Source organism: Homo sapiens, chromosome 2 (genome assembly GCF_000001405.40).
Source record: "Homo sapiens chromosome 2, GRCh38.p14 Primary Assembly".
NCBI classification, from domain to species: domain Eukaryota; kingdom Metazoa; phylum Chordata; class Mammalia; order Primates; family Hominidae; genus Homo; species Homo sapiens.
Genome location: NC_000002.12, coordinates 107,254,343 through 107,279,417, shown reverse-complemented (window position 1 = coordinate 107,279,417; position 25,075 = coordinate 107,254,343). Strand labels below are relative to the sequence as shown.

At 40.9% G+C, this 25,075-nt stretch overlaps 1 long non-coding RNA gene across 1 annotated transcript in view, besides 1 other annotated feature; it reads left to right on the top strand.

Moving 5' to 3' along the window:
• The window catches only part of LINC01789 (long intergenic non-protein coding RNA 1789), a 110,883-nt gene extending 86,156 nt beyond the window's left edge, over positions 1-24,727 (top strand). Inside the window, exons 2-4 of the long non-coding RNA NR_183814.1 lie at positions 12,710-12,809; positions 14,516-14,690; positions 24,537-24,727. This is a non-coding gene — a long non-coding RNA (long intergenic non-protein coding RNA 1789). The remainder of the gene's footprint in view (positions 1-12,709; positions 12,810-14,515; positions 14,691-24,536) is intronic.
• Positions 23,088-23,262: a silencer, noted in NCBI's record as "fragment chr2:107872612-107872786 (GRCh37/hg19 assembly coordinates)". NCBI's record gives its function as "represses an EF-1alpha promoter that drives an FKBP-Casp9 reporter gene in an ReSE screen in HepG2 liver carcinoma cells {active_cell/tissue: HepG2}" and the evidence as "EXISTENCE:reporter gene assay evidence [ECO:0000049][PMID:32094911]".
• Positions 24,728-25,075: the final 348 nt, after the last annotated feature.

The following is a 25,075-nucleotide window of genomic DNA, read 5'->3' as shown; positions in this document are numbered from 1 at the left end:
TCTTCATCTTCACTGGAAAGGAAGCCATTCATAAAGAAAAGGCGCCTTTTGCAGCAAGAGGCTTGCTGTGAAATCTGTGAGGTCCAGGACCTATTCCAACCCATGATGAGGCACATCTGTGTCAGTTCTTAGCCTGCTTTCTCTCAGAATCCCTCTTCCCTTTTCCCTGCCTTGCCCACTTTACAAAGAGCCTTTGATCAGCTACACTTAGCTGGCCTCCAGCTAGGTTTGACCAAAGGTGGGTACTAGTAGGAGCCTGGATAACAGTGGGAAAGGAGAAGTCAGGGTGTTTCTCTCTTTCCTCATTTGCTTCATTTGGGATCTTTAGCAGCAGCTGGATGTCCTCTGTGGTTTCAACTCCCATGGGACAGACCTACCATGGTTTTAGCTTCTTCTGGCTGGCCCCAGCTTTGAGGCTGCAGTAATGCCACATTCACCTTTGTCCCTAATACTAGGGATGATAACAGCACCCTGCAGGTGCTGATCTCTGGGTTGCACCTAGCTCCTAGATCCAGTAATGCCACCTTTACTTTTGTCTGCCAGCACTAGGGGTCATAGCAGCATTCCGCTGTTGCTGACCTCTGGATTCCAGCACTATTGTCTTTTGGTATCTCAGTTCTTCTGTGTAACCAAGCCCATATATAAAATGCCATCCATTTAAAATGCATAGAAAAGTTTCTCTTTTCAATTTTCCATGGCTGGTGCACCCTATAAGTTTATTCATTGTAGGGACATTATAAATTATAGCTCAGATCACCTAAGCACGTTATCGGAAACAACCGGAAATAATATAAAATAACTCCCACATTAGGATCCTTAATTTATGGAGTTTTATTCTATACAAAGTATTTTTACATATATTATGACTCTATTCTCCAAAGCATTATTTGAAGCATGGGAATTATAAATTATTTTTTCTTATTTTACGGTTAAGGAAATAAGATCCAGAGAGGTTAGATAATCTGCCCAGTGGAAAAGCCATGCTTTTACTATGTGCATTGGAAGAGAATAAAGAAGATAAGTGGATATCATACTTCTGTATTCAAAGTTGCTTTTCTGGGGGCTTCATCTTTTAACATAAGTGAGCTTCAAAGCAGTGAGAGGTGTGTTAATGCCTCACTAGGAGATAAAATGTCAACCATGGGTATAGAGCTATGGAATCACACTCCTTCCCTTCTGTGGATACAGACTTCAACACAATATCTATTAATTGTATTTTCTTGGAAGCCCCCATGATTGTGTGAATTAAACAGGTGACAGATAACTTATCTGAGACTCACATTATTAGCTTATTACATCAGCTCCATGAACACAAATACTAACTACTTCATAAAGCTGAGTTAGAGATATTCAGCCAATTAATAGTTATATTAATAGAAGCAGTGGTTTATAATGTGTTTTAATCTAGCTTAATGATCTCAAAACGCAGCAAGAAAAGTAGAGATATTATTGTTCTTGTTAATAGATGAGTAAACAGAGGCTCAGAGTGGTAAAGTAACTTACCCACGGTCACGCCTTCAGCGTCAGGACAAGGACTTGAACCAAGACACTCCAACTCTTACACCAGTACTCTGCTTTGTGATGGAAGCATTCCCAAGTTAATATTGGGAAAAATAATTTTGTAATAGTAATACAACATGTCTGCCTCAGCTTTGTAATCAAATCATTGACATGCCTACAGCTTTAAAATTTCAAAACCCGCAGTAAAAAAAGTCCAGCCCAGATTTTGAAACCCTGTGAACTTTTGATATTAGACAAAAAAAACATTGAGGTTCATAAAAGTTTGGAAGCACTTACAGGCATACAGCATTGAAATTAGTGTTCCTCTTACCTGAATCCTTTAGGTGGTGGAAAGACAGTTCAACGTATACCCACAATGTTCAAAATTCCCACATTCTGGATCATTCACTGTATTTCCTCATGTCTAGTCCTGAACCTCTAGTCTGGTCCTAATGTTGGCAGATTAAGGGTGGGTAAAAACTCACTTCACATAATTTCACGCAATCCACTCACAAAACATCACAATTTGAATCCGTGTAGCCACAGGGGAATCTTTCCCTTGTGATCATTAATCCAGGTGTTGACGCCCATCACGATATTGTTAGAACATCTTGATCCAAAACTACCATCTTTATCTGGTCTCCAAAATCTGAAACAAGAAAAGAAACACTTTTTATTTTCATAATCACAGTGCTAAATCGAAATCCTAATACCTGCTGCAAAGGTTTAAAATGTAACCTTCTTACCGTGGCCCTGGAGTCCCTTCTAATCCTCCTTAGCTCACTTTTTCAATGTCATCTTCTACTACACACCCTTCCATATCTATCTGATGCCTGGCTGTTCCAGCCTTCCCAGAAAGTTCCCATTACCTGCCTTTTTTCATGGGCTATAATAAGCCCTTTTATACTCTCCTTCAGTTTTTAGTATTCATCCTTCACCAAAAATCTTCCTTAAGTAGCAGGTACTTCAAAATACTCTGTTCCACTTTAAAGGTCCAACTTGTTTCCTTTTCCATGAAGTCTTCTGAGACAACCTACTCCACTGTTAGGGGTTTTCACAATGATCTACCATCAACCTTCTCCATTCTTTGTATTTTATCTCTTTAGACATTAGGGATTTTTTTGTTTTGTTTTGTTTGTTTTATCTGTTAAAAGAAGAGATTGGACAAAATCACCAGTCCTCAAATGTGAGGGCAAATCATTCAGATATAAGGAGTTCATTGGTAATATAATTTCTAATATTCACCCTGATCCCAATACACCAAATCCTCCAGGGAATGAAAGGAAAGAAAGGGAAGTCAAATCTGAAAAGCCTCATATGTGACATATGATCCATTCTTATGCAGCCAGTCCCACAGCAGTCTGAAAAACATGTGGAATCTAAGATTAAACTCAAACATAAACACGATATATATTTTATTAACTTGATTTGAATTGTTGACAGAATTAGATCCGACGCTGTTACCAATTGCTTGTCGTATGGGATCGATTCAAATTGGATATTTACTTCTAATATTTCACTGAAGTGTTTTAAGGAAATGTAAATTAAGCCTAAGACAAGGTATATTCTTGGACAAAGAACTCACTCTTTAACACAAAACCTTGTCCAGGCCAATCACAAAATGTCATCTGCCTTTTTCACATACCAAATCTCTAATCTGATGGGGAAACAACATTCTCATCATTCCAGACTGTAACCCACAAATTATATTACTGCCCCCAGAAGACGAGGTCACAGCTGAAACCATTTACCAAGTGAAAGCAATTTAATGCCAGTCTGGTAAAATGTAAATACCAATTTGCTTGCAATAAAAAAAAATAGTATGGATACTTTCATCTTCTCAAATAATAGCTCTTTTTTTTCTGAAAGACTGAGAAATTGTCAAAGTGAAGAGCATAAGTGATTTCTCCTCACTCCCCCAAATCCCAAAATCAAGAGGAAAGAAGGAAAAAGCCTAAAGTTTTTCTACTGCTCTAATGAAAGACTGTTTTCCAAACTGGTTTTGTTGAAGCTTTGCTGAGAGTGCAGAGTCCAGTAATCAAGTCGCTTCATGATTTAATTTACCTTGATTAGCATAGCAATTTGCTATACTTTCCTCAAAAGTGCTAATCAATTTTAGCAACTAGTAGAGTGAAAACACCACACAAATTGCTCTCATGGCCCCAAACTGCTAATCAATTTTGAAAACCTAAATCAATCTGCCTTTCATCCTGTCATTTCTCGCTTGACATTTTTAATACCTCTCCTGACTAAGTCCAGGGAATGAGTTTTCAGGCCAAATAATGAACTAAAGTGATACTGCATTTTGGCTTTAGCATTGTCATCTCATCCTCCCCACACATCCTCCTCTGGCTTGTAAAATATCCGTGTGTGCGTATATAAGAGAAAGCAAGATATTTTAATAATCAAGGTCATTGCAAAGTAGCTTCTCTTCTATTTCTCACTTCAGAAGGGAAACTGCCACATTGTAAAAATATTGGCTTAAGTATATAAATGAGATGCTGGTCCAGTATTAATTGAATGATAACAGTACTATAGCCACAGCATCTTAGAACAGGAAGAGACAGTAGAAATCATCTATTCCAGTCCCTATCTTAACTAGAGAAGTAAAGTCTCACCTGTCCCCAGGCCTCCTAAATCCAGACCCAAACTAATGGCTTGTATCATGCATGCATGTTTGCCCTGTGTGGCTGCAGTAAGTATGAAAGCACTGCCAATGAGAATTGAGGGGCCTCTTATGCTCCACATAAGCTATATTTCCTGTAAAACTGTCCCTCTTGGATGATTTGAAAATGCACTAATCTCATCATACCCACCAACATGTTTGCATTATTTTAAGCAGGATAAGCCTGCTTGCTAAATTGAGATTTCTTTGTTTCAGCTGTGAGTAGCCTAGACTTTTTTTTTTTCTTGCTTAGCAATTGAATTAAATCAGAAACCATTTGGATCCTCTAGCAATAACAACACATTTATTAGAAAAAGATTGGGACAGTTCTTTGGAAATGAGGTCTGAAGACCAAAGCTCTGCCTATGACAGTTCATACATTAACAGAGTCTGGAGATGAAATGTACTCAGTAGAAATTCTCTTTTTAATTTTCAAGACTTGTATATCAGATTTTAAGTTGAACATTGTTGTGTCCAAGCGTGATAGCTGTGGATTACCGAGACAGGGCAGGAAGGCATCACTGGGAGGGACGGGGCAAACCTGCGTTGGAAAGCCAGAAAGAGCAGACCATCAGGTCAGGGACTCCAGGACATCTGGAAGCACCAAATGTCAGGAGAAGGAAAGGGGTTGGCAACCAGGCTGGCAGGCACCAGCAGCAACAAGGTGACAGCAGCCCAGAGACAGGGATCCTTTAGATGTGCTGCTCACACAAAGCAGAATTGAGTGAGGACTGGATTTATTTTTCTTTTCTAAAAACAAAAAAATTTTAAATTTTTATTTTATGTATTTATTTTTAGAGACTTTAGTAAGGATCTTCAGGTGAACAATTCTCTCAAATCATGTATTTTTTAAAAAAAGATACTTTATTTTCATTTTTCAGGGGTGTTTTTACTTTAAAAAATTGGCAACTCTTTCTCTCAGCACTAGGGATATATTCCTCTGTCTTCTGGCTTCCATCAGCCCTGTGGAGACAGCTCTGTATCTTTGATTTTGAAGCATAACCAGATATTTACACAATCTTAGGTATCTCACCCAAGATACTTACTAGTTACCAAGGAAAAAAATAGCAAATTGACGGTGGAGAAACCTGAGATACCATCATAGTCAAGTGATGAAAGTTACCATACTGTAGTTACCAGTAATGTAACTGGTAACTGGTAATGCCACTGCTGATGTAACTGGCAACTGGTAATGTCACTGGTGCCCGGTGTCTCCTGCAACGAGGGAGTGAAGGCACAGCATCCCCTCTGTGTCACTCCTGCCTGAGGTGCACATGCTGATTCTAATTGTGAGGAAACATGCCATGCATTGAGATTGAGGCTATTCTATAAAGTAATTGGCCTCTTTTCTTTAAGATGGTCAATGTCATAAAATGTACAGAAAAAGTCAAGAACTCATCCTATTCAAGGATACCATGAGGACCAAGGAGACATGGCATCCTAACTGGAACACATGGTACAGGACTTTCTTTTACTGAAAAGACTATTTTGTGGGACACAGCGAGAAATCTGAATAGGTAGACAGAATAGATAATAGAGTCGCATCAATAGCTCTTTCCTGTTATTTAGTAACTGTACTGGTGTTTTGTAAAATAATGTCCTACTTTAAGAACATACTAAGATATTTAGTGGTAATGGACAGCGTGTCATTAGCAAACTGACTCGCAAACAATCCAGAAAAGAATGAGGTGCCTGGTGTATGTGTGTATGAAAGGAGAGGGGAAAAAGTGAGTCCTCAGAACAAAGCAAGTATGGTAAAATGTAAATATTCAAGAAATCTGTATAAAGGACATATAGGAATTACTTGAACTCTTCTTGCAACTCTTCTGTAGGTCTAAAATTATGTCAAAATGAAAAACCAAGAGAATAAAAAGGAAAACAAAAACAAACAACAAAGACAAGGAAAATAATAATAAATCAGAGATCATGGAAGATGCTGTCCTTTTTACTATATATTGGCAGCTAATATGACTTATTTATTAATGAAAACAAGTAAAATCTTAAAAGAAATGAACTTGTGAGTAGATACATATAACTTATCTAAAACAATAATACACAGAGCATTTAAAATAGACAGAGAACTAAAATATACTGAAAGTATAGCATAAAGCTTGGTGAGGAAATACATAAACAGTTTTAAGTTATTCCACTTTTTCAGGGAAGGGTAAGAGTATAAAGAAGCATTGAGTTTGATAATTCAAGGATACAGGCTAATCTTGAGTAATGGCTAAATTAATAATAGATAAAAATAAATTAATTTTTAAAACAACCCATATATAAGCAAAAAAAAGGAGAAAAAGAGAAACCGAGAATAAGCGGAACAAATGAAAAACAAACAGCTAAATGGCAAATTCACATATACTTTATCAGTAATTATGTTAATTAAAAATAGATTAAATGCTACAATTTAAAGAAAAATATTAGTCACAATTTTTTTAAAGCCACTAGATGTTGGCTATGACTGATGTAGTTGAACTGTAAAGTTACACAATGGTTAAGTATAAAGTGATATGCTACACAGACACTGAAAGAAGGCAGATACATATACGAATATGATGTTTTTAAACAAAACATGTCACAGATCAAAAGGTATATTTCATAATGATAAAAATTTATAATATAGGAAGATAAAATAATTCTAAATTTGTATGTCTCTAATAATGTAGCCTCAAGAATATAGAGCAAAAGCTAACGAATTTGAAAAGATAAATAGACAAATATATGAACACTCAATACTTTCTCAGTAGTCCTTAACACAAGCTGACGAAATAGTCACAAAGAGATTTTGCACATATAGAGAATTTGAGCTTTGTGATTGAGAAACTTGGCTTCATTGACATTTATGAAACACAGCAGCCACTTACTGCAAAACACATATTCTTTTTAAGCATACACAAAACGTTTATAAAAATTAACCATTTACAAACCCATAAAGAAAATCTCAGAAACATGAATGACTGATATAATAAAATGGGTAACTGACTTCAGCACAAGTTAGAAATGAATAGAAAATTGAAAACTGAAAAATCCCATATATTTGGAAGATAATATACTTCATAGTAACCTGTACTTGAAAGAATAATTCATAATGAAATATAGAAATTATTGTGAACTGAACAATAATTTAAAAATTATATCAATCACATCAATCACATGAGATCCTGCAAATATACACTTAGAAGGAAATTATAATTTTCCATCAAATATTACAAAAGAATGCTGAAAATAAATAAGTATCCAAATCAACAGAAAAAAAATAACAAAAACTATCTTAAAACAGAAGGATGAAAACATTTGAGATTGTATTAGTCCATTTTCACACTGCTATAAAGATACCACCCAAGACTGGGTAATTTATAAAGGAAAGAGGTTTAATTGGCTCACAGTTTCGCATGGCTAGGGAGGCCTCAGGAAACTTAAAATCATGGCAGAAGGCTAAGGAGAGGTAAGTACCTTCTTTGCAAAGCAGCAGGAAAGAAAGCAAGGGAAGGGGGAAGAGCCCCTTATAAAACCATCAGATCTCATGAGAAGCACTCACTATCACAAGAACAGCATGGGGAAACCGCCCCCATGATCCAATCACCTTCCACCCGGTCCCTCTCTCAAAACCTGGGGATAACAATTTCAGATGAGATCTGGGTGGCGACACAAAGCAAAACCGTGTCAGAGATATAAGTATAAATTAACAAAATAGAAAACAAGCATAGAGTTAGAATAATTAACAAAGCTAAAAGTTAGTTCTTTGAGAAATTTAATAAGATAAATTCCTGATGAGACTGGTCAAAAAAAAAAGTAAAGTCTCAAAAAACCACCAACACAAAGAGAAAAGGGTCAACACTATTCTATGCATTTCACAGATATTGGAAAGTCATAAAATGCCGGGGGTGGTGGCTCATATCTGTAATCTCAGCACTTTGTGAGTCAGAGGCCAGAGAATGACTTGAAGCCAAGGGGTCAAGACCAGCCTAGGAGACATAGTGGGACCGCATCTCTACAAAAAAAAAAAAAAAAAAAAAAAAAAATTAGCCAAGCATGATGGTGCATGCCTGTAGCCCTAGGTACTAGGGAGGCAGAGGTAAGAGGATCACTTGAGCAGAGGAGTTCAATGCTGCAGTGAACTAGGATTGTGCCACTGCGCTTCAGCCTGGGTGCCCGAGTGAGACCTTGCCTAAAAAATAAATAAATAAATAAATAACGCATAACTTAAAAATAAAAAAAGTCATAAGACAATTGAATGAACTGTTTTATGCCAATAAATTTTAAAATTCAGGTGAAAGCATCAAATTCTAGAAAAGTAAACTATATCAAAACTGACACAAAAAGAAATAGAAAATATGAATTGTTTTCTAACTGTTAAGGAAAGTAACTTTGTATTTTCAAACTTTTCCACAAAATAATCTCTAGACTTTGATGGCTTGTCAGTGGTAAATTATATTAAATATATATTTTTTTAAACCCACAAATCAGACCTGGCCCAGTGGCTCATGCCTATAATCCCAGTGCTTTGGTTGGCTGAGATGGGCAGATCACCTGAGGTCAGGAGTTTGAGACCAGCCTGACTAACATGGAGAAACCCCGTCTCTACTAAAAATACAAAAAATTAGCCAGGCAGGGTGGCCCATGCCTGTAATCCCAGCTACTTGGGAGGCTGAGGCAGAAGAATTGCTTGAGCCCAGGAGGCGGAGGTTACGATGAGCCAAGATGGGGCCATTGCACTCCAGCCTGGGCAACGAGAGTAAATTCCGTCATACACACACACACACACGCACACACACACACACACACATCATAAACAAGCTCTTCCAGAAAATAAAAGAAGAGGAATCAGTGTCCAACTTGTTTTTTGAAGTCAGCATAATCACATCAAAAGCTGACAAGTCCCTTCTCCCTCTTCCCTCAGACTCTGCTCTCCTCAGTGGGCAGGACTCTGTGCTTCTCCAAATCACACCCTACTTCAGTGTCTAGTTCAAATCCTACCACCTCCAAGAAGTGTTCCCCAAATGCATATCACATTAGATGTATAGATGTTATAAAATTGTATCTATTTATATAGTTTCAGAGCTGAAAGGAGGCTTTGAGATCATTTTATGAAGTCCCAGCAAGTCTCCAGCCAGAACCGGAAAACAAGCCTCCCAACATTTTGTTCAGGGTTCTTTTCACCACACTATTGAAGGTCACTCTTCAACGCAGCAACATTATGAAGTGGAAAAGAGGACACAGGCTTTGGTTGGAGTTACTTTAATGTAGACTTCTCCTTAATTGCTTTTTGAAATAGTTTGTGTAGCATCATAGAGAAACATTTCCATCCCTAAACTTGTAATGTAATCTTATGAAATATCAGAAGACTACACAAAGATGACCTAAAATATTAATATTTTAAGAGTGGTCTTGACTTTCTCTTGTGACCCTGTATTATGGGGAAGGAACCACCTCTTACAAAATACCTACTACTAAGTGTGGGGAACTTCTGTAAACCAGATGTGATGCTAAACAATTTATATGCCTTCATTTACCCAGTCCTAACCCTAATCCTACAGGCCTGCCTCGTGGTGCTGGCAGGAACAGATGGCACATACATAAGGGTAGCTAAAGAGACATTAATGAACGAATAATTTACAAAGGTGTCTTCATCATGAAGAGAGCACAAAAAGGAGCAGCTGAAACACTCAGGGACTAGGTCTTCAGAGGCCAAGTGGAGGGGATGGTGCCCCCAGAACTTGAGCAAAATAAATGCCCTTACAGAGGGCTCTGTGTCTCCATGGAGGACAGCAACCATGGGCCAGTAGGCAGAGGATGAGGAGGAATGATAATCTCATTCCCCTCCAGCCCTGGGACACTGCTTCCCATGGCTGAATCCAGATACTCAGAGAGATTCAGCTGATCTCGCTAGAGTTCAGCCTTCAAACATAGGGCAGAGAAGTAGACCCCACCAGGTACTGCTGCCTTACAGATGAAGAAACCAAGGTACCCCAGGACTCATACCCAGGCATTTCAGATTCCAAAGCTATGATCCTATTTGCCTTGCTGACCACCAAAAGGTGTACAGGGGATGTACACTATACTCTTTTTCTCTGCGTATTTTTGCTTTCTTATTAGACAAAGTCTTGATACAGCAAGTTTCCTTTTATCCTGTATGTAGTTGGAAGGTCTGATGCTCAAAAGGTACAAAAAATGTCAATTAAGTAAAAATTGTCTATTAACCTAGTGTGGTATGGGAGTGTGGATGTGGGTGTATGAGAGACTGAGGCAGGGAAAACACATCAACACATATACTTTTTTAAAAAGCAAACCTTTCCTGGTGCAGTTCTACAGGATCCTGTCAGATCTTGTATTTTCTCTAAGTTACAACAAAGCAAGAGTACCATTTTTTTCACTCTATAAGATAAAACTTCTGTCAATTAGGAAAAACAATGCTGATCTCTGGTTCCTTTAAATTCCCCAATTTCCACTTATAGTTCTGGGGAGGAGCATCAAGAGACCTCAAATCAGAGCGTTGGCCACATGTGCGTGAACAGAAAAATGGACACCTACTTTAAGCCTTATCCAAAATTTCAGTTAATTTTCTTTTTTTCTTCTTAATTTTTGTGGATGCATTGTAGGTGTATATATTTATGGGGTGCATGACTTGTTTTGATATAGGCATGCATCATTTTATTAGGGTGCTTTGTCTGGAGCTTATTTTTTACTAACAAAGCAAATAAGAAAAGTAAAAACCAAGTAATGCAAACATAAAATATCACCCTTTATTATAAAATGTACAATTCTGCTTATTCTCTAACTAGAACAACTCAACATAATGATAAAGTTGTGATTGCAAAAGACAGGCAACTGCTATGGGGACCTTGTTTGCCATGTTTCTGATAATGGTGCAATTGTAGGAAGCTGGATCTCTAATAAAAAGACTATGGGCTGCTGCAACTCTAGGAATGGAAGCTTCACATCTACCATCTACTGCTTGCTGCATACCCCACTGCATCGGTCACTGAGGCGCCCAATACCTGAGGAATTGAAATCAACATTATGTTAAGATGCGGGAGCTCTCAGAGAACATGCAGCCACTCTTAGGAAGTACAAGAGGACTGGAGGGGGAGTCCTATAGACTGAATGCTTCCATCCCCCCCGCCGGAATCATATGTTGAAATTCTAATCCTCAACGTCATGGTATTAAGAGGTGGGGCTTTTGGGAGGTGGTGAGGTCCTGAGGGTAGTGCCCTCCTCCATGAAATTAGTACCTTTATGAAAAGAGACAGGAGAAAGCTTGCTTCTTTTGTCTCTTCTCTCCCAAGTAAAGACACACCAGAGGAGAGTCATCTGCCAACCCGGAAGAGGGCCCTCACCAGAACCTGACCATGCTGGCACCCTGATCTCAGGCTGCCCAGGCTACAGAACTGTGAGAAAGAATTCTGTTGTATAAACCACCCAGGCTATGGTATTGGCAATAGCAGCATGAGCAGCATAAAATAGGGCAGGTTCAAGGCCTTTACCTAAGAACCTGATGCTCAAAAGATACAAAAAGTGTCTATATTCCCATCAACAATCCATTCTCCTGATGAACTTGCCAGTATCCTGAGGTTTGCAGCCAGGGAAGTCAGCCCATGTTTGCTAAATAAATGAATGAGAAGTGGAAGTGGAGATGATGGAGCAGGTACATGGCTGAAAACCTGTTTATGTCAGAGCCCATTTCCTACCTTTTTACCTACCTAGAAGGCAGCCAGCACTTCTCAGTTCCATCATACAGAGAACATTTTGCTGAGATGACACCAACTTCCAGTTCTTCACAAAGATGCAGGTGACTATTTACTGCCCTGCACTCTGATATCTCTCCCTGTGCCCTGGGAAGGAAACAGTCTTTGAAGCCTCACTGTGGAGCTTAGCCATGTGTTTCTCACTCCCCTTCCCCCTTCTATCTCTCCTAATTATGGAGTCCAGGCCACTATCTCCACTGGTCCAGATCACTGTCCTAGCATTCTAAATGAACTGTCAGCTCCTATTTGTGTCTTCCAGCAGTTTACACTCTACTTAATAGCAGGAGTGACCCTGTTGAAACACAAGCGAGTTTGTGTCACCTCTCTGCTCAAACCATCCAGCGGCTCTTCATTCTTTTCAGAGAAAATCCCAATTCCTTATGGTGACCACAAGGTTCCACGTGGCCTGGCCACTCACTGCCCCCTACAATGCTCCATGACATGAGCTGCTGCAGCCACATGGGCCAAGTGTGCTTAAATCTCAGGGCCCTTGCACAGGCTTGCTTCCTCTGCCACGAAGTCCCACCCCAAATGCCAGCAGGCTCACTTCTTCACCTCCATGAAGTCTGCATTCAAATGGCCCCCTGCTCAATTAAATCCAGCTGGACCACTCCATTTAAATTCCAACATCCTCCCTGACTGAATTTCCAAATCCTCTTACCTTGGTTGCATTTTCTTTTCTCCATATGGCTTATCACCTTACAATTTGTTATGTAGTTTACTTAATTATATAATATGACGTAATATTATATACTTATGTTTTTTGCTCTTTTCTCCCTCATCCCTCCTGCCTATGCAGCCCTCAGCCTTCAGCATGAGAACAGGGACATCAGCCTGCTTTGCCCATGGAACTGTCTCCAGAGCCTACAACAATGCTCAGCCTATGAGAGGTGTCTCCTGTATCCTTGTTAAGTGAATGAGCAATTGTGGGAAGGGATAATTACTAGCTCCCTTCAGTTATGCAAAGAACAAGGGAGATGCCTGCCACCTTTTGCACCCTGAATCACAGGGTGGTAAGGTGTACAGGCCTGGCACCTGGTAGAAGGCATGGGAGTGCACATTAGCTATGCAGCCCTGGGAAAGGCTGCATGCCGGTATACTTTATGCAAGTGAGCAAACAACATTGACAACTATTAATAATTTACAAAATGCTAAAGAAAATAACCCAGTTTTTTAGTTTGCGAGAGGAATTACTGCCGGTGGCTATTATTAGATGCAATTTTTTACCCCAGGAGACGTATGGTCATATCTGGATTTTTTTTTTTTTTTTTTTAGTTGTCACATCTGGGAGGATCATGGGAGAGCTGCTTCTGATATCTGGAGAGCAGAGGCTAGGAGTGCTGCTCAACATTCCACAACGCACTGGGCAGCCCCCTGTATAGCATGACCTGGCCCCAAATATCAATAGAGCCGAAGCTGAGAACCCAATCCTCCAAAATACATACAGTGAATATTTTCAAATTGATTAAGTATGTTCATTCATTTATGTGAAACTTTATATGTGATATGCTAAGACTTCATCTAATACAAAATGTAAATGAATCATAAAAACATTTTTTAACCTGCCCTCCTTCAACAAAAGGTTTAGAGCAACATTGCTTAAACTAGAATGTGTTCATTTCTCATTAAAAAAAATTATTCCTCTCCTTCAATGAAGGTGGTAGGTATTCATATTTACATAATATATAAGTCGGTGAAATATCAGATACATTAGAAAATTTAAAAACAAATAATTGGAAAAATAGTTCCTTGTAGACACCTTTATTATATATGTGTTCATTTATTCATACCATGCTTTTAATAGCAAAGTCTTTATTCATGTCTGGAGTTTGATTTTTAAATCTTCTAGGTCATTAAATGAATGTCTTTAATAATCTTAATATCATCATCAGTAAATTTAGCAAAGAAATGCCACAAGAGCCATCAATTTGATCATATTTGAGCTCTGGGACAAATTATGTTGAAGAACTTTTCAGCTAAAAAAAAAGGGAAGTTTTTATAAAAGTGGAGAAAGAATAGGAAGAAAAGTGAAAAGTACTTTGCAGTTTGTATCGGATTTTTTTTTTTTTTTTTGAGGTGGAGTCTTGCTCTGTTGACTGGGCTGGAGTGCAGTGGTGCGATCTCAGCTCACTGCAACCTCTGCCTCCGGGGTTCAAGTGATTCTCCTGCCTCAGCCTCCCGAGTTGCAGGGACTGCAGGTGCGTACCACCACGCCCAGCTAATTTTTGTATTTTCAGTAGAGACGGGGTTTCACCATGTTGGCCAGGATGGTCTCAGTCTCTTGACCTCGTGATCTGCCCTCCTTGGCCTCCCAAAGTGCTGGGATTACAGATGTGAGCCACCGCGCCCAGCCTGGGGATTTGTATAATGTGGCAGTATGATAAAATTACTGTCTCTCCACAACCGAAACCTCAGATGTCTATGTTCAAACCTAAACTAGTCTTAACATCTTGAAAGTCTGCAGTCACTTAATCTTTATCTCTAAATCTACTGTTTATTTTCTCTATTTACCTTTTCTGCTGTTTTTTTTGATAAATTAACATTTCTTGAAATAAAAAACACACTGATAACAGACTCATGTTCAATTTACCTTAATTATTCACAGAGAAGACTTTCCATTTCAACAAGCCTCATTTATATGCAACTGGCAATTTCTCTAAACAGAAGAAAAGGGGAGATTTTGCCAATCAATTGGCTTCACCATCCCCCAGCCCCAAAGTGTGTTTAAGAACATTTGCCTGTGCATGCATGTGTTTTCCTTTGCATCCCACAAGAGGAAGGTAGGCATATTGCATACAACTGCAGCTTTCTCACCTGAGAAACATTCTTGGGTTTAATGTCGGTATGAACCATTAGGATTTAGCATAGCATCAATGACATGCTAACATATATTCGCTCAGTAGCCATGGGAAGATCACTTTCTCGTATAATTTATGCAATTAAACTTTCCCATTTTCCTGGATGTATGCATGGAAACCATCCACTGAGGCTGCTGTCCATTGAGTTGGAGCTTTTGCATGGCAGAACTGGAGAGTCCAATTGAAAACACAGAAGTGGAGCTGCTCCAGAGAGGGTGCGGCACGAAGACTCTGTGCAGGCTATTTCAGAGCGAAGCGAGTGGGCTCAAATGTGCTGAATGCTCACTTGCTAACACAGACAGCACCAAGATAAACACCTACAAAATAACAGCAAGACACAGACCTGTAGGAACTCCGAGCTGGGCCAGCCTCAGGAGAGGTTTCTCCCAAGGACACTGTTCTTACGCATAGATGGAGAATCACCTGGAAAGAACAAGACTGTGAGCCAGACCCCAGCCTGCAGAGTATTGGTCCCTCAAACTTGCGTTCTGCCCTTTAAACGGCATCACAATGGGTTAACAATTGTGAAGCTTGAAAATAATTGTTTTCCCCTAAGAATGGGCCTGGGCTTACAGCACATTTGTGAGACAGAACAGGGGGTGGAGAGGCCAGGGATCTAGATTCCCCCATTTATTGTCTCATGTTACACTAAAAAAATTGGGGGTTGTTACCCGGTTCTACAGATGAGGAAGCAGAGACTGGAGGGTTTGATAAACCCCTGGAGGTCATGCAAATACCCTGTAGTAAAGCTTAGATTTTAACCAGATCTTTTTGTGTTCCAGAAGCTGCATCTCTGAGTCATGAGACATGCAGACCATGGCAGATGGTCCCGTGACAGCATTTATTACCTTAAACGGGAAGTCTCAACCCACCCTCCTCCCCCACATCCACTCCCCACTTGAAGATAGATACATATGATAGGACAAGGCTGTGATTTAAACTTAGCTCAGGATGGTGCTGTGCCTGAGCATATGGAAAAGCTTTTAAATTCAGTTTCAGATTTATATCTGCTGACAAGGGGTAAAATGAATTCTTGGTCTTTGTTCGAATGGAAAAAAGTCTCTACATTATTAGGCGCCATAATATTTTATTCAAATCTTCTTAGAAATTTTTGGATATTGCATCTGGGGGTAAGTGTGCCTCTTTGATGTCATTCAGAAGTGTGTGTATCTTGGTTACTGTGTACAAAATGCACTGGTCCAGTTTTTTCAAAGTGCCTTGACGCTATACATTAAATTGCAATCAAGAGAATTGAATATGGAAAGTAGAGTTTTTTTTTTTTTGCAATCCTTCCTTCAACTCCTAAAGTCAGCTCTTTAGAGAAAATTAGCACTGATAATAGGACAAGATGATAAAGAATACATCCGTGTTACAGCTTCTAGTGCCACTCCCCCAATCTCACATTAATGCTACACTGATTTCAATGGAACATTGAGAAGAAATATTTCTCTAGTCTGAAAGTAAAGCAGGAATTACAAACTCAGTAATTAAGTTAGGATTAGGTTTGCTGCAATATAATGTACATATATGCAGATATAGTTCATTACCCTTACACATAAAAGTGATCTAAAGAGAGGTAGCCCAAAGCTGTTCATGTCTACTATGCCTCTCTGCCTTCCTTAGATGACACTTCACAGTCCAGAATGGCTGCTTTTGCTCCAGCCATCATGTCCAAATTCTAGCCTGCAGTGAGGAGAAAGCAACAAAAAAAGGACATGCTCATTCTTTTTAAAGAGCACTTCATAGAGAATGTTCATTTCACTTTCAGCTATCTTTTGTGGCTAGAACATCAAGTATGTGGTCACACCCCACTACAGGAGGAGCTTGGAAACGTAGGGTTTATTTGGGCCCCCAAGTGCTAAACTAAAATCTGGAATTGAAACATAAATGAAGAAGAGAATAGGTATTCAAGTAGGCATACTCTGCAATTATTTCTAGGTCAGTGCTATGCCCGTGGGATAAACTTTTCAAGTAGAGGTCCAATACTGACAAGAGTGAGAGGGACTGAGGCACGTCTCCAAAGCATTCTATGATCCTGGTTCTCATGACTGGGCCCTGAAACTTTGCACCTCAATTCCCTTGACTGGATCTCTGAGCTCCTCTCTGTATATGGGTTCCACCACCCATGTCTCTCCTGGGCTGAGGCCTTGCCTTCCCTGAGTGAGTCCTGCTCTGTTACTCTTGCTTGTCCACCTGTCCCCACAAACTCTAGGAACTAGAACCTGGCCCCAGTCTGGTCTCAAAGCCAGGCATTGGGTGAGTAAAAAGAACATCAGTTTGGGGCTACACTGGACCTCAGTTCCAAGCCCATGTCCATGACTTTTGAGCCACCTGGCTTTGTGCAAATTAGCCTTTGTATACTTCTATTTCCTCTTTTGTGTAAAAGTGGAATATTAATAGTATTTACCTCATATGGGCTGCAATGAGTGTTAGCCACCATTGTTATTGGTGTATGTTCGTGGACAGAAGGCCTATGTCTCTGTCTAGTACAAGGATATCCTGGAAAAGAACATGCCTAACCCTTCTTTGATTTAATGAGACCTTCCCATATCTCTGGTTCTAATGGGATGAAGCTCCCTAACTACCTAGTGCTGGTCTACACCACCACTTTGTCACCTCAGCTCCGTTTTGTGATGGGACAGGGACCCTTCCCTCCTCTGCAGCACATCTGTTTCTCTCAAATAGATTTGTTTCAAGTCTCAACTCAGGCCATGATCTCTGAAGTTGGGCCCCCTCATGACGTGACAGGATGAACAATTTGTACATAACAGGTGCAATTTAAATTCCTGTCTCATGCATTAAAGGCAGCTTCCATTTAGGCTTCTGTGGCCACCTTCTAGAGCCATCAAACTCTGTATCTTGAAAAAGTTCACCTTGAAAGCCTTTCTGCCATTGCCAGTGACAGGGGTACCCTCTCACCATGCCGGCAGGTTCCTATAGTGTCTGAGGACCTGAGATTGACATTTGTCTCAGCACATCTTTGGAGCATAAAGCCAGAGAACTGCCAAAGTAATGTGACAGCCACCATTTGATGATGCAGATAATAGCCACGAGAAGCCAGACAGAAGGATTTCACTCTAGCAGGTAAATGTTAGCTTAGCCTTTATTTAAAACATGCCTGTCCTGAGATCAAGTTTGCTAGAGAGAAGAAGAATCAGAGGAGTTGGTAATATTTGGATTGATCATAATGAAATGTATCACTTTTCCTTTTAAAAATGTTTATAAGTTATTTGACTAGTTTTACAAGTTTTATATGTTTTGCAAGTGAATTTTAACCCCTATGTTTATCTATCACCAAGACAATGCCTTATATCAGGCATTGATGATCTCAATTAAAGACCTCTTTACTGTCTTCTCAGGTCCTAGTGACACTATTTCCAATCAACCCTCTACCTTTGCAGAAACTGTGGTTCAAAATGTAAATTGAATTGTGCCACTGTCTTGCTGAAAAGTCTTCAGTGGTTTTCCACTGACTTCTGAATAAACCATGACATAAGTCCCAAGATGACCTGACAGGCCCTTGCTTCAATGTCCACCAACCCCCTGCACATGCATACGTACACACACACACATACACACACACACACACACACATGCACACACACAATTAACTCCAGCCACCCTGAAGTCCTGGCAGTCCCTCAGCATTTTCCTTCTCACCCATGAACCTATATACCCATCTGTGATGGTTAATATTGGTGTTAACTTTGATCGGATTGAAGGATGCAAAGTATTGTTCCTGGGTGTGTCTGTGAGGGTGCTGGCAAAGGAGATTAACATTTAAGTCAGTGGAGTGGGAGAGGCAGACACCCCCTCAATCTGGATGGGCACCATCTAATCAGCAGCCAACTCAGCCGGAATAAAGCCAAGCAGAAGAACGTGGAAACATTAGACTTGTTTAGTCTTCTGGCCTCCATCTTTCTCCCAGGCTGGATGTTTCCTGCCCTCGAACATTGGACTCCAAGTTCTTTAGCTTTGGGACTCAGACTGGCTTCCTTTCTCCTCAACTTGCAGATGGCCTATTGTGGAACCTCATCTTGTGATCGCATGAGTCAATACTCCTTAATAAACTCCGCTTTATATATACATCTATCCTATTAGTTCTGTCCTTCTAGAGAACCCTGACCATCCCTCTCGCTGCAATGACATTTAAACCACCTTCCTTCTGTAGCTATTTTCCATTTCTCCTTCGGTCTCAGACCTCAGCTTCTTCAGAAAGTTCTTCTGACCATCCTTTCTGGGTTATAAACCTCTTCTATATGACAACATCAAGCCCACACTTTCTACTGTGGTCTGAAAATACCTGTCTCCAGTATTGTTTTGGAAACATTTGTGATCAGTCCTCTCTCTTTCACCTACATATTTTATATCCATTTTCTACTGCCCCTAAATGATGTTGCATATCAAACAACCCTAAATCCTTCTGTGGCATACAGTATTAAACATTCATTTTCCCTCAAGAGTATAGGACTGGTTGGGCAGCCCTGCTGCTGATGCTGGCTGGGCTTGTGCATGCACTCGCAATCAGCAGATGGACAGGGGCTAGCTGGTGAGGATGCCCTCAGCAAGGAAAATTTATCTCTGCTCCATCTGGTCTCTCATCCTCTGGCAAGCTAGCTTGGACTTGTCCTTATGGTGGAGGGGAAGTTCTAGGAAAGAGCACTGAAGCACATAAAGACTTCCTGAGGCCTAGGCTCAGCACCAGCACATGACTTGTGCTGAATTCTTTTGGCCACTGCAAAGTACAAAGCCAAACCAGGGTAACAGATTCCAGCTCTCAGTGAACGGAGCTGGAAAGTCACTTTATAAAGGTAGTAGAGCTAGGGAAGGTGTGAACAGGGACCATCAGTTCAATCAATCTATGGCTTAGCCCCAGTGCCTACTCAATCCCTGGCTACTCAAGAAATGTATATTGCATGAATGAAGTGAGGAAAACTGAAAAAAAGTGTTCTGAGGTTGAAGTGTCACCAGTGCCATCAATAAGGCAGCTGGATCTGGCAACCTGATACCCATGAACTTGGCTAGCCACACTGGAGCCAGACAGCAGGCGACTAGGAATGAGCCCCTGCCTACTTCATAGAGCCGAGATGAGAAACAAGGATTTTCCACATTGAATGTCTGCCTGAGCATCTTTCTGTTTCTGCACTAATCTCTGTATTAGTCACATTTTTTACATTTTATGATGTTTTGATATCTTGGGGCCTTCAAGACCTAGAGGGGAGCTTCCCCTCCCAGCATCAGCTAATTCCCAGAGATAACAGACAACTTTCCCCCATGGTCATGCCTTTGATAGGCAGCTAACCAATCCCAAGTCCATATCCTCCACCTGCCTCCTTTTATCAGATGTCTGCAGTCTGGGACACTATCCCCCTGCCTTAAATCACCCAGGGCCCAGAAGTGGACAACTGGAGACACCTATATATCCCAGAGCTTGGTGAAATTATTCAAACTATCCAATTCTAAGTCTGCTCAGCTGCTTACTCTGCCTCACCCATTCCTTTACTGAGAAACCACAAAAGTGCTCCCCACCCCCACCAATACCCCCCCACCCTGTCGACCCTACCTCTGGCTCCTGACTGGCCCTGGTGCTCCCTGTGGCTCTTTGACGTGTGATGTGCCCCCTCCTCCGGGGAACTGTGAGTCACAAACTGTCTTTTCAAAGGCAGTCATCTCCTGATCTGTTGGCCTCACCATATTTGAATAAAAAAAATAAATCCCAGATACATGTTATAACGGCTTCAATACCTGCCTCCAAAAGGCCTGGACACAGGGAAGGTGGAGAAAGGAGCAGGTAGAGTCCAGGAGGAAGTGCTCAATTGCAATGTGGTGAAGGAAATGGTGATGTGCGCAGCCTGTGTTTGTGCTTATCTTGCCTGTCTCTCCACAGTCTTCCCTTCCCTTTGCCCTCTCTCCCACCCTTATTTAAAGTCTACAACAGAAATGATTCATGGTCCTATTTTCAGCACCGTGACTGACCAGCAATGCATGGCAGAGCATCCATCAACGTGTAATGTTTCATCCCATACATTTCCCTTTCTCTTCTCTCCCCTATCTCTTCTCTCTTTACTTTTCTTTCTCCGCTCTCACCTCAAATCTTGTTAATATGCTTTTCCCAGCATTTCTTAATAGGGTTGCAATTAGCATATTGAAATGGGCCACAGAATTTAACAAATGTGACCCTACCTATTAATTGCAGTGGCATCTCCAGTGAGTGAGACCCGCAGACATTTCCTAACACCACATAGAAAGCCAATGCTACACCTTGCTTGAGAGGTTAAGCACCTTGGCCTTTCTTTCCAGTTTTCCTCACTGACCCAAGCTAACTAGTCAATCTAGTTCTGTAAGGTCACTGGTTAGTCCTTCCTTGTTTGGTCATATGTGGCTGCTTCAGCATAAACACACGCTCCACTGCTGTAGCAAAAATCTGAGTAGGAAGCTGAGATCCCAGTAGAGAAAGGACCCGAAAAATCCACCAGTACCCTGCTTCCCACTCCTGGGTCAATGCCTTTCTCTCCCTCTGCCTGGCTCCCCTTCTCTACATCCTCCCTCCTTCTCATTTTGCCCTGTCCTTTGTCTCCTGCTACCTGCCAGCCATCTCCACTCACCTTTGCCTGCACTCACCATCACAGCCCCTGGGGGACGTTCTGTTTTACCCACAGCTCTTATGCAACATAGAAAATTCTTCTTCAATGTGGCTTTGCTAATATCAATTAGAATTTCTCAAAAGTTACATTACTAAGAAATCAACGGATAAAAATAACTGCAGGATGGATACATTTACTGCACTTATTCTTACTCAACTTTAACTCAAGTGTAGCCACGGTTTGGTCTGGGGAGTTTCATGGGAAGCTCACAGCCCTGGCTGTTTCTCTCTGTGGCTTCGTTGCTGGACAATGCACTCTAGCACTGTTTGGACCAGCTGTGGAGTAGCTTTGTGGCTGGTATTGGCTGGCTTCTCTGTCCAGCCAGAATTGGCCTCCTGCTACCTCTCTGAGTACTTCCGCCTAAGTCCATTCCTATTTGACATGCTGTTGCTGTTGGCTTTGGTTTAGATGTGCAGCTGCTTTAGGACAGAGAATCATGTTGTGGTCTCCACCACCCTGGAGAGAGAGGCCCATTCATGAGGAATCCCAAGACTCCACCCCCGGCCACCTTCACCCTCCTACAAGTCCTCCATTCATTCTCCTCACCCCCGTTTCTACCTACTCAACTGGACCTGTCTGTGGGACTCTCATTGCCTGGGTATTCTTACTAGCTTTTACTTGGTCTTTGTTTATTTATTCTATTTCATTTCATTCCATTTTATTGTTTGCCTAGTAGTCTAGGCTAGTATAGGAAAGAGAAAAGCCCTTGAATGTACAACTATAATTCTGTCTGCCTACTAGGGAGAGGCACCATTACTTTCAGGATAGCTTTTGGTTTAACCAGTTCAAGGATAAGTCACTCAGGAAAAAATAAACCTCAGGACATGGCTCAGAAAGTGAAGAAATAAGATCAGTTCTATCACTATAATCAAAGTAATTAATTGGGGTTTCCTGGAGGGAGAAAATTTGGAAAAGTTCAGTGAGAAAGTAGAAGCAAATATCCTACGAAAGGGTTTGGCCAGCAGAAATGACCAAGGACATTTCAGGGATATGGGGGTCTAAAATCTAACTGAAAGGATCTTGTTGTCACCCTGTCTTGTTTGCTTGCTCATTCTTTGGTGTGGTATAGCAATGCTTAATAACACATTCTCTCAACCCTCTCACTCAGACACAAGTCTTTTCCTCAAAACTTAAAATCTGTTGCAGACATAACCTCCTGTTGTCCATACTTTAGGGGAAAAGATAAGGGATAGAAAAGGACAGCAGGCCCAGCATGGGTGGTACCAGCCAGTTCCATAGAGCCTGGGATTTGCCCTCAGACCACTCACTCTGTCACTCTGGCAATAATTTTGTGACTCAGAAAATTATTTCTTAAACTTCAAGTTCTTCATTTGTAAAATGGGGATAGTAATAATACCTAATTCAGAGGGCTGAATACGTAGTTCTTATTGGTAAAGCCTAGTGTATCATATGTTTTGTTAAACAAATGTGAACGTTCAAACATACTACCTAGGTAAAAGTGGGCACACGAAACAAAAGTAATCAAGAAAATCAAATCCCAGAAGGACCGGGATGCTAGATTTACATTTTACATATTATGGCCATGATCTGATTTCATGTGAATCTAAACAGACCAGGACACCCCAATTGATATCAGGATGACACTTGTGTTGTTCCCTGGTCTCCATGCTATTTTCAGGGTTGAAGCACTCCTACTTCCTGCTGAGTTACTGTTTACAGTTTGAAAAGTTCTTCATGTGAGTTCTATGTAGAGCCGGGACACCCACCGTGGTCCAAGCCCAAGCACAGCCTTAGACCTCTTGGCTTGACACTGGTGTATGTCCTTGGAGGTAATAGCAGCCATGGCTTTTCAGCATGAGCGCAGAAACTCCGGCCGATTAGAGCAGAAAAGGAAATTATTCACGACAACAAAACGAAATGTTGGGTTGATGGTTGATTCCAGAATCCCACAACAGCCAGGAGAACCAGACTTAGAAAATAAGCAGCAAAAAGGAGGGCTGAGCAGGAGCCACGGTCACAGCCAAGTCTGTCAACACGGCCAGGGCAGCGAAGACCGTGGCCCACCCGGCCCACCTGCACCAGCTTCCGCAGCTGCTGCCTCTGCGCCTCCTGCTGGGCTCCCACGCTTCCACTTAGGCTTTGGCTGGGGGTTTGCCGGGGGGAAGGGGGATTGGCTTCTGAGCACCACTGCTGGAGCAATACCTGTGCTGTCCTTGCACACTGGACGCCAGGACCACTGCAGCAGTCCCCATGTGCCCCCGGGTAACGACATCTTTGCTTTCCCAACTCTGAGTCACTGGCTCCCACTACAAGTTCCGTGGTGCGGGGATCTGAGGCCAAGCCTAACACAGGCTTTGGCCCTAAGCGCACAGAAGGCCGGAAAGCCAGCATCTGACGTTTTCACCTGCTGTGGTGGGCGGTGGGATTCCAAGATTCGCGAGGTAAAGGTTTCCCCGTAAATAGGGAGGGCTTTGATACTGCGCAGCCAAGGCAGAGAGAAGACAACACAGCAGAGTACGAGCCCTGTGCACTGCGGGCCTGAAGAGCCAAGCGCACAGAGGGGGCGAGAAGTAGACCCGGGTCCTACTCACCGCCCAAACTGTGGGGCCTGTGCGATCATTCAGATGAACACTTCTGATATATTTATTGATTGACTGATAATGTGGTCTTATTACATTATTATATTGGCCTATACAACAGTTCTGTTCTGAATCTATTTTTAAAATACACTTATTTCCATATACTTGCGCGTATGTGTATACACTGGGGTAAAATTTTATAGTGATTGTGTAAATTAAATAAATATATATGCAAAGCTTGGAATATAGTTCATGCTTTAATGAGTTTCATGCCCCTAGTATTTTTCTGGAGTCAGTAATTTCAATATAACCTTATTGTGTTAAAATGTTTTTCACAAAATTACCTGCACTATTCTTCTGTATGTATTTATGGTTAATACATTTGAAATTGTTGACACATTTAGTTGACTCTTCTTTGAAAAGCATAGCATTTTTTAAAGGAGAAAATAGACTTTCTATGGGTGCTGAGGTATCTGATAAATTCAGATAAAATTCTGCTAAATGAAGGATAGTCTCAAAATTATTTTCTATTAAAAAGGATACTGCAGTCTGAGTATCATTGTTTGTTTGTTTGTTTTTGACAGGGTCTCGCTCTGTGGCCCAGGCTGGAGAGTATGGTGCAATCAAGGCTCACTGCCCCATGTTCAAGCCATCCTCCCACCTCAGCCTCCCAGATAGCTGGGACTAGAGACACACATCACCACGCATGGCTCTGGGTTACTTCAATAAGTATTTTTCAATAAATATTTCTTCAATAAATATTTAATAACACAAAGCTCATGAAAATTTATCTCTATTATTTCTTGGAATATTGTGGCCAATTTTAGATGGTCCAAAATTGTGATCTTTTCATTTTTATTATATGCTGGTTTAGAATAGAAATTTTCTAATTAAAAATAGCATCATCATTAAAATATTCTTCTTCTAAGTCAAGATTATCCAAAGTATAGCAAATGCCAAAATCATTTCATGTAGACTCTCTGATCTCCCCTCATCGGATGTGTTCTCTGCTTCTGTGGTTCTGTAGGAATAAAGAGCACTCTCTCCCTGTTAGCAAATTTTATCCTCAATGATTACAATTTACTAAAAGCTTTGAAAGACAAAGTTGTTTGGTGCTCCATGT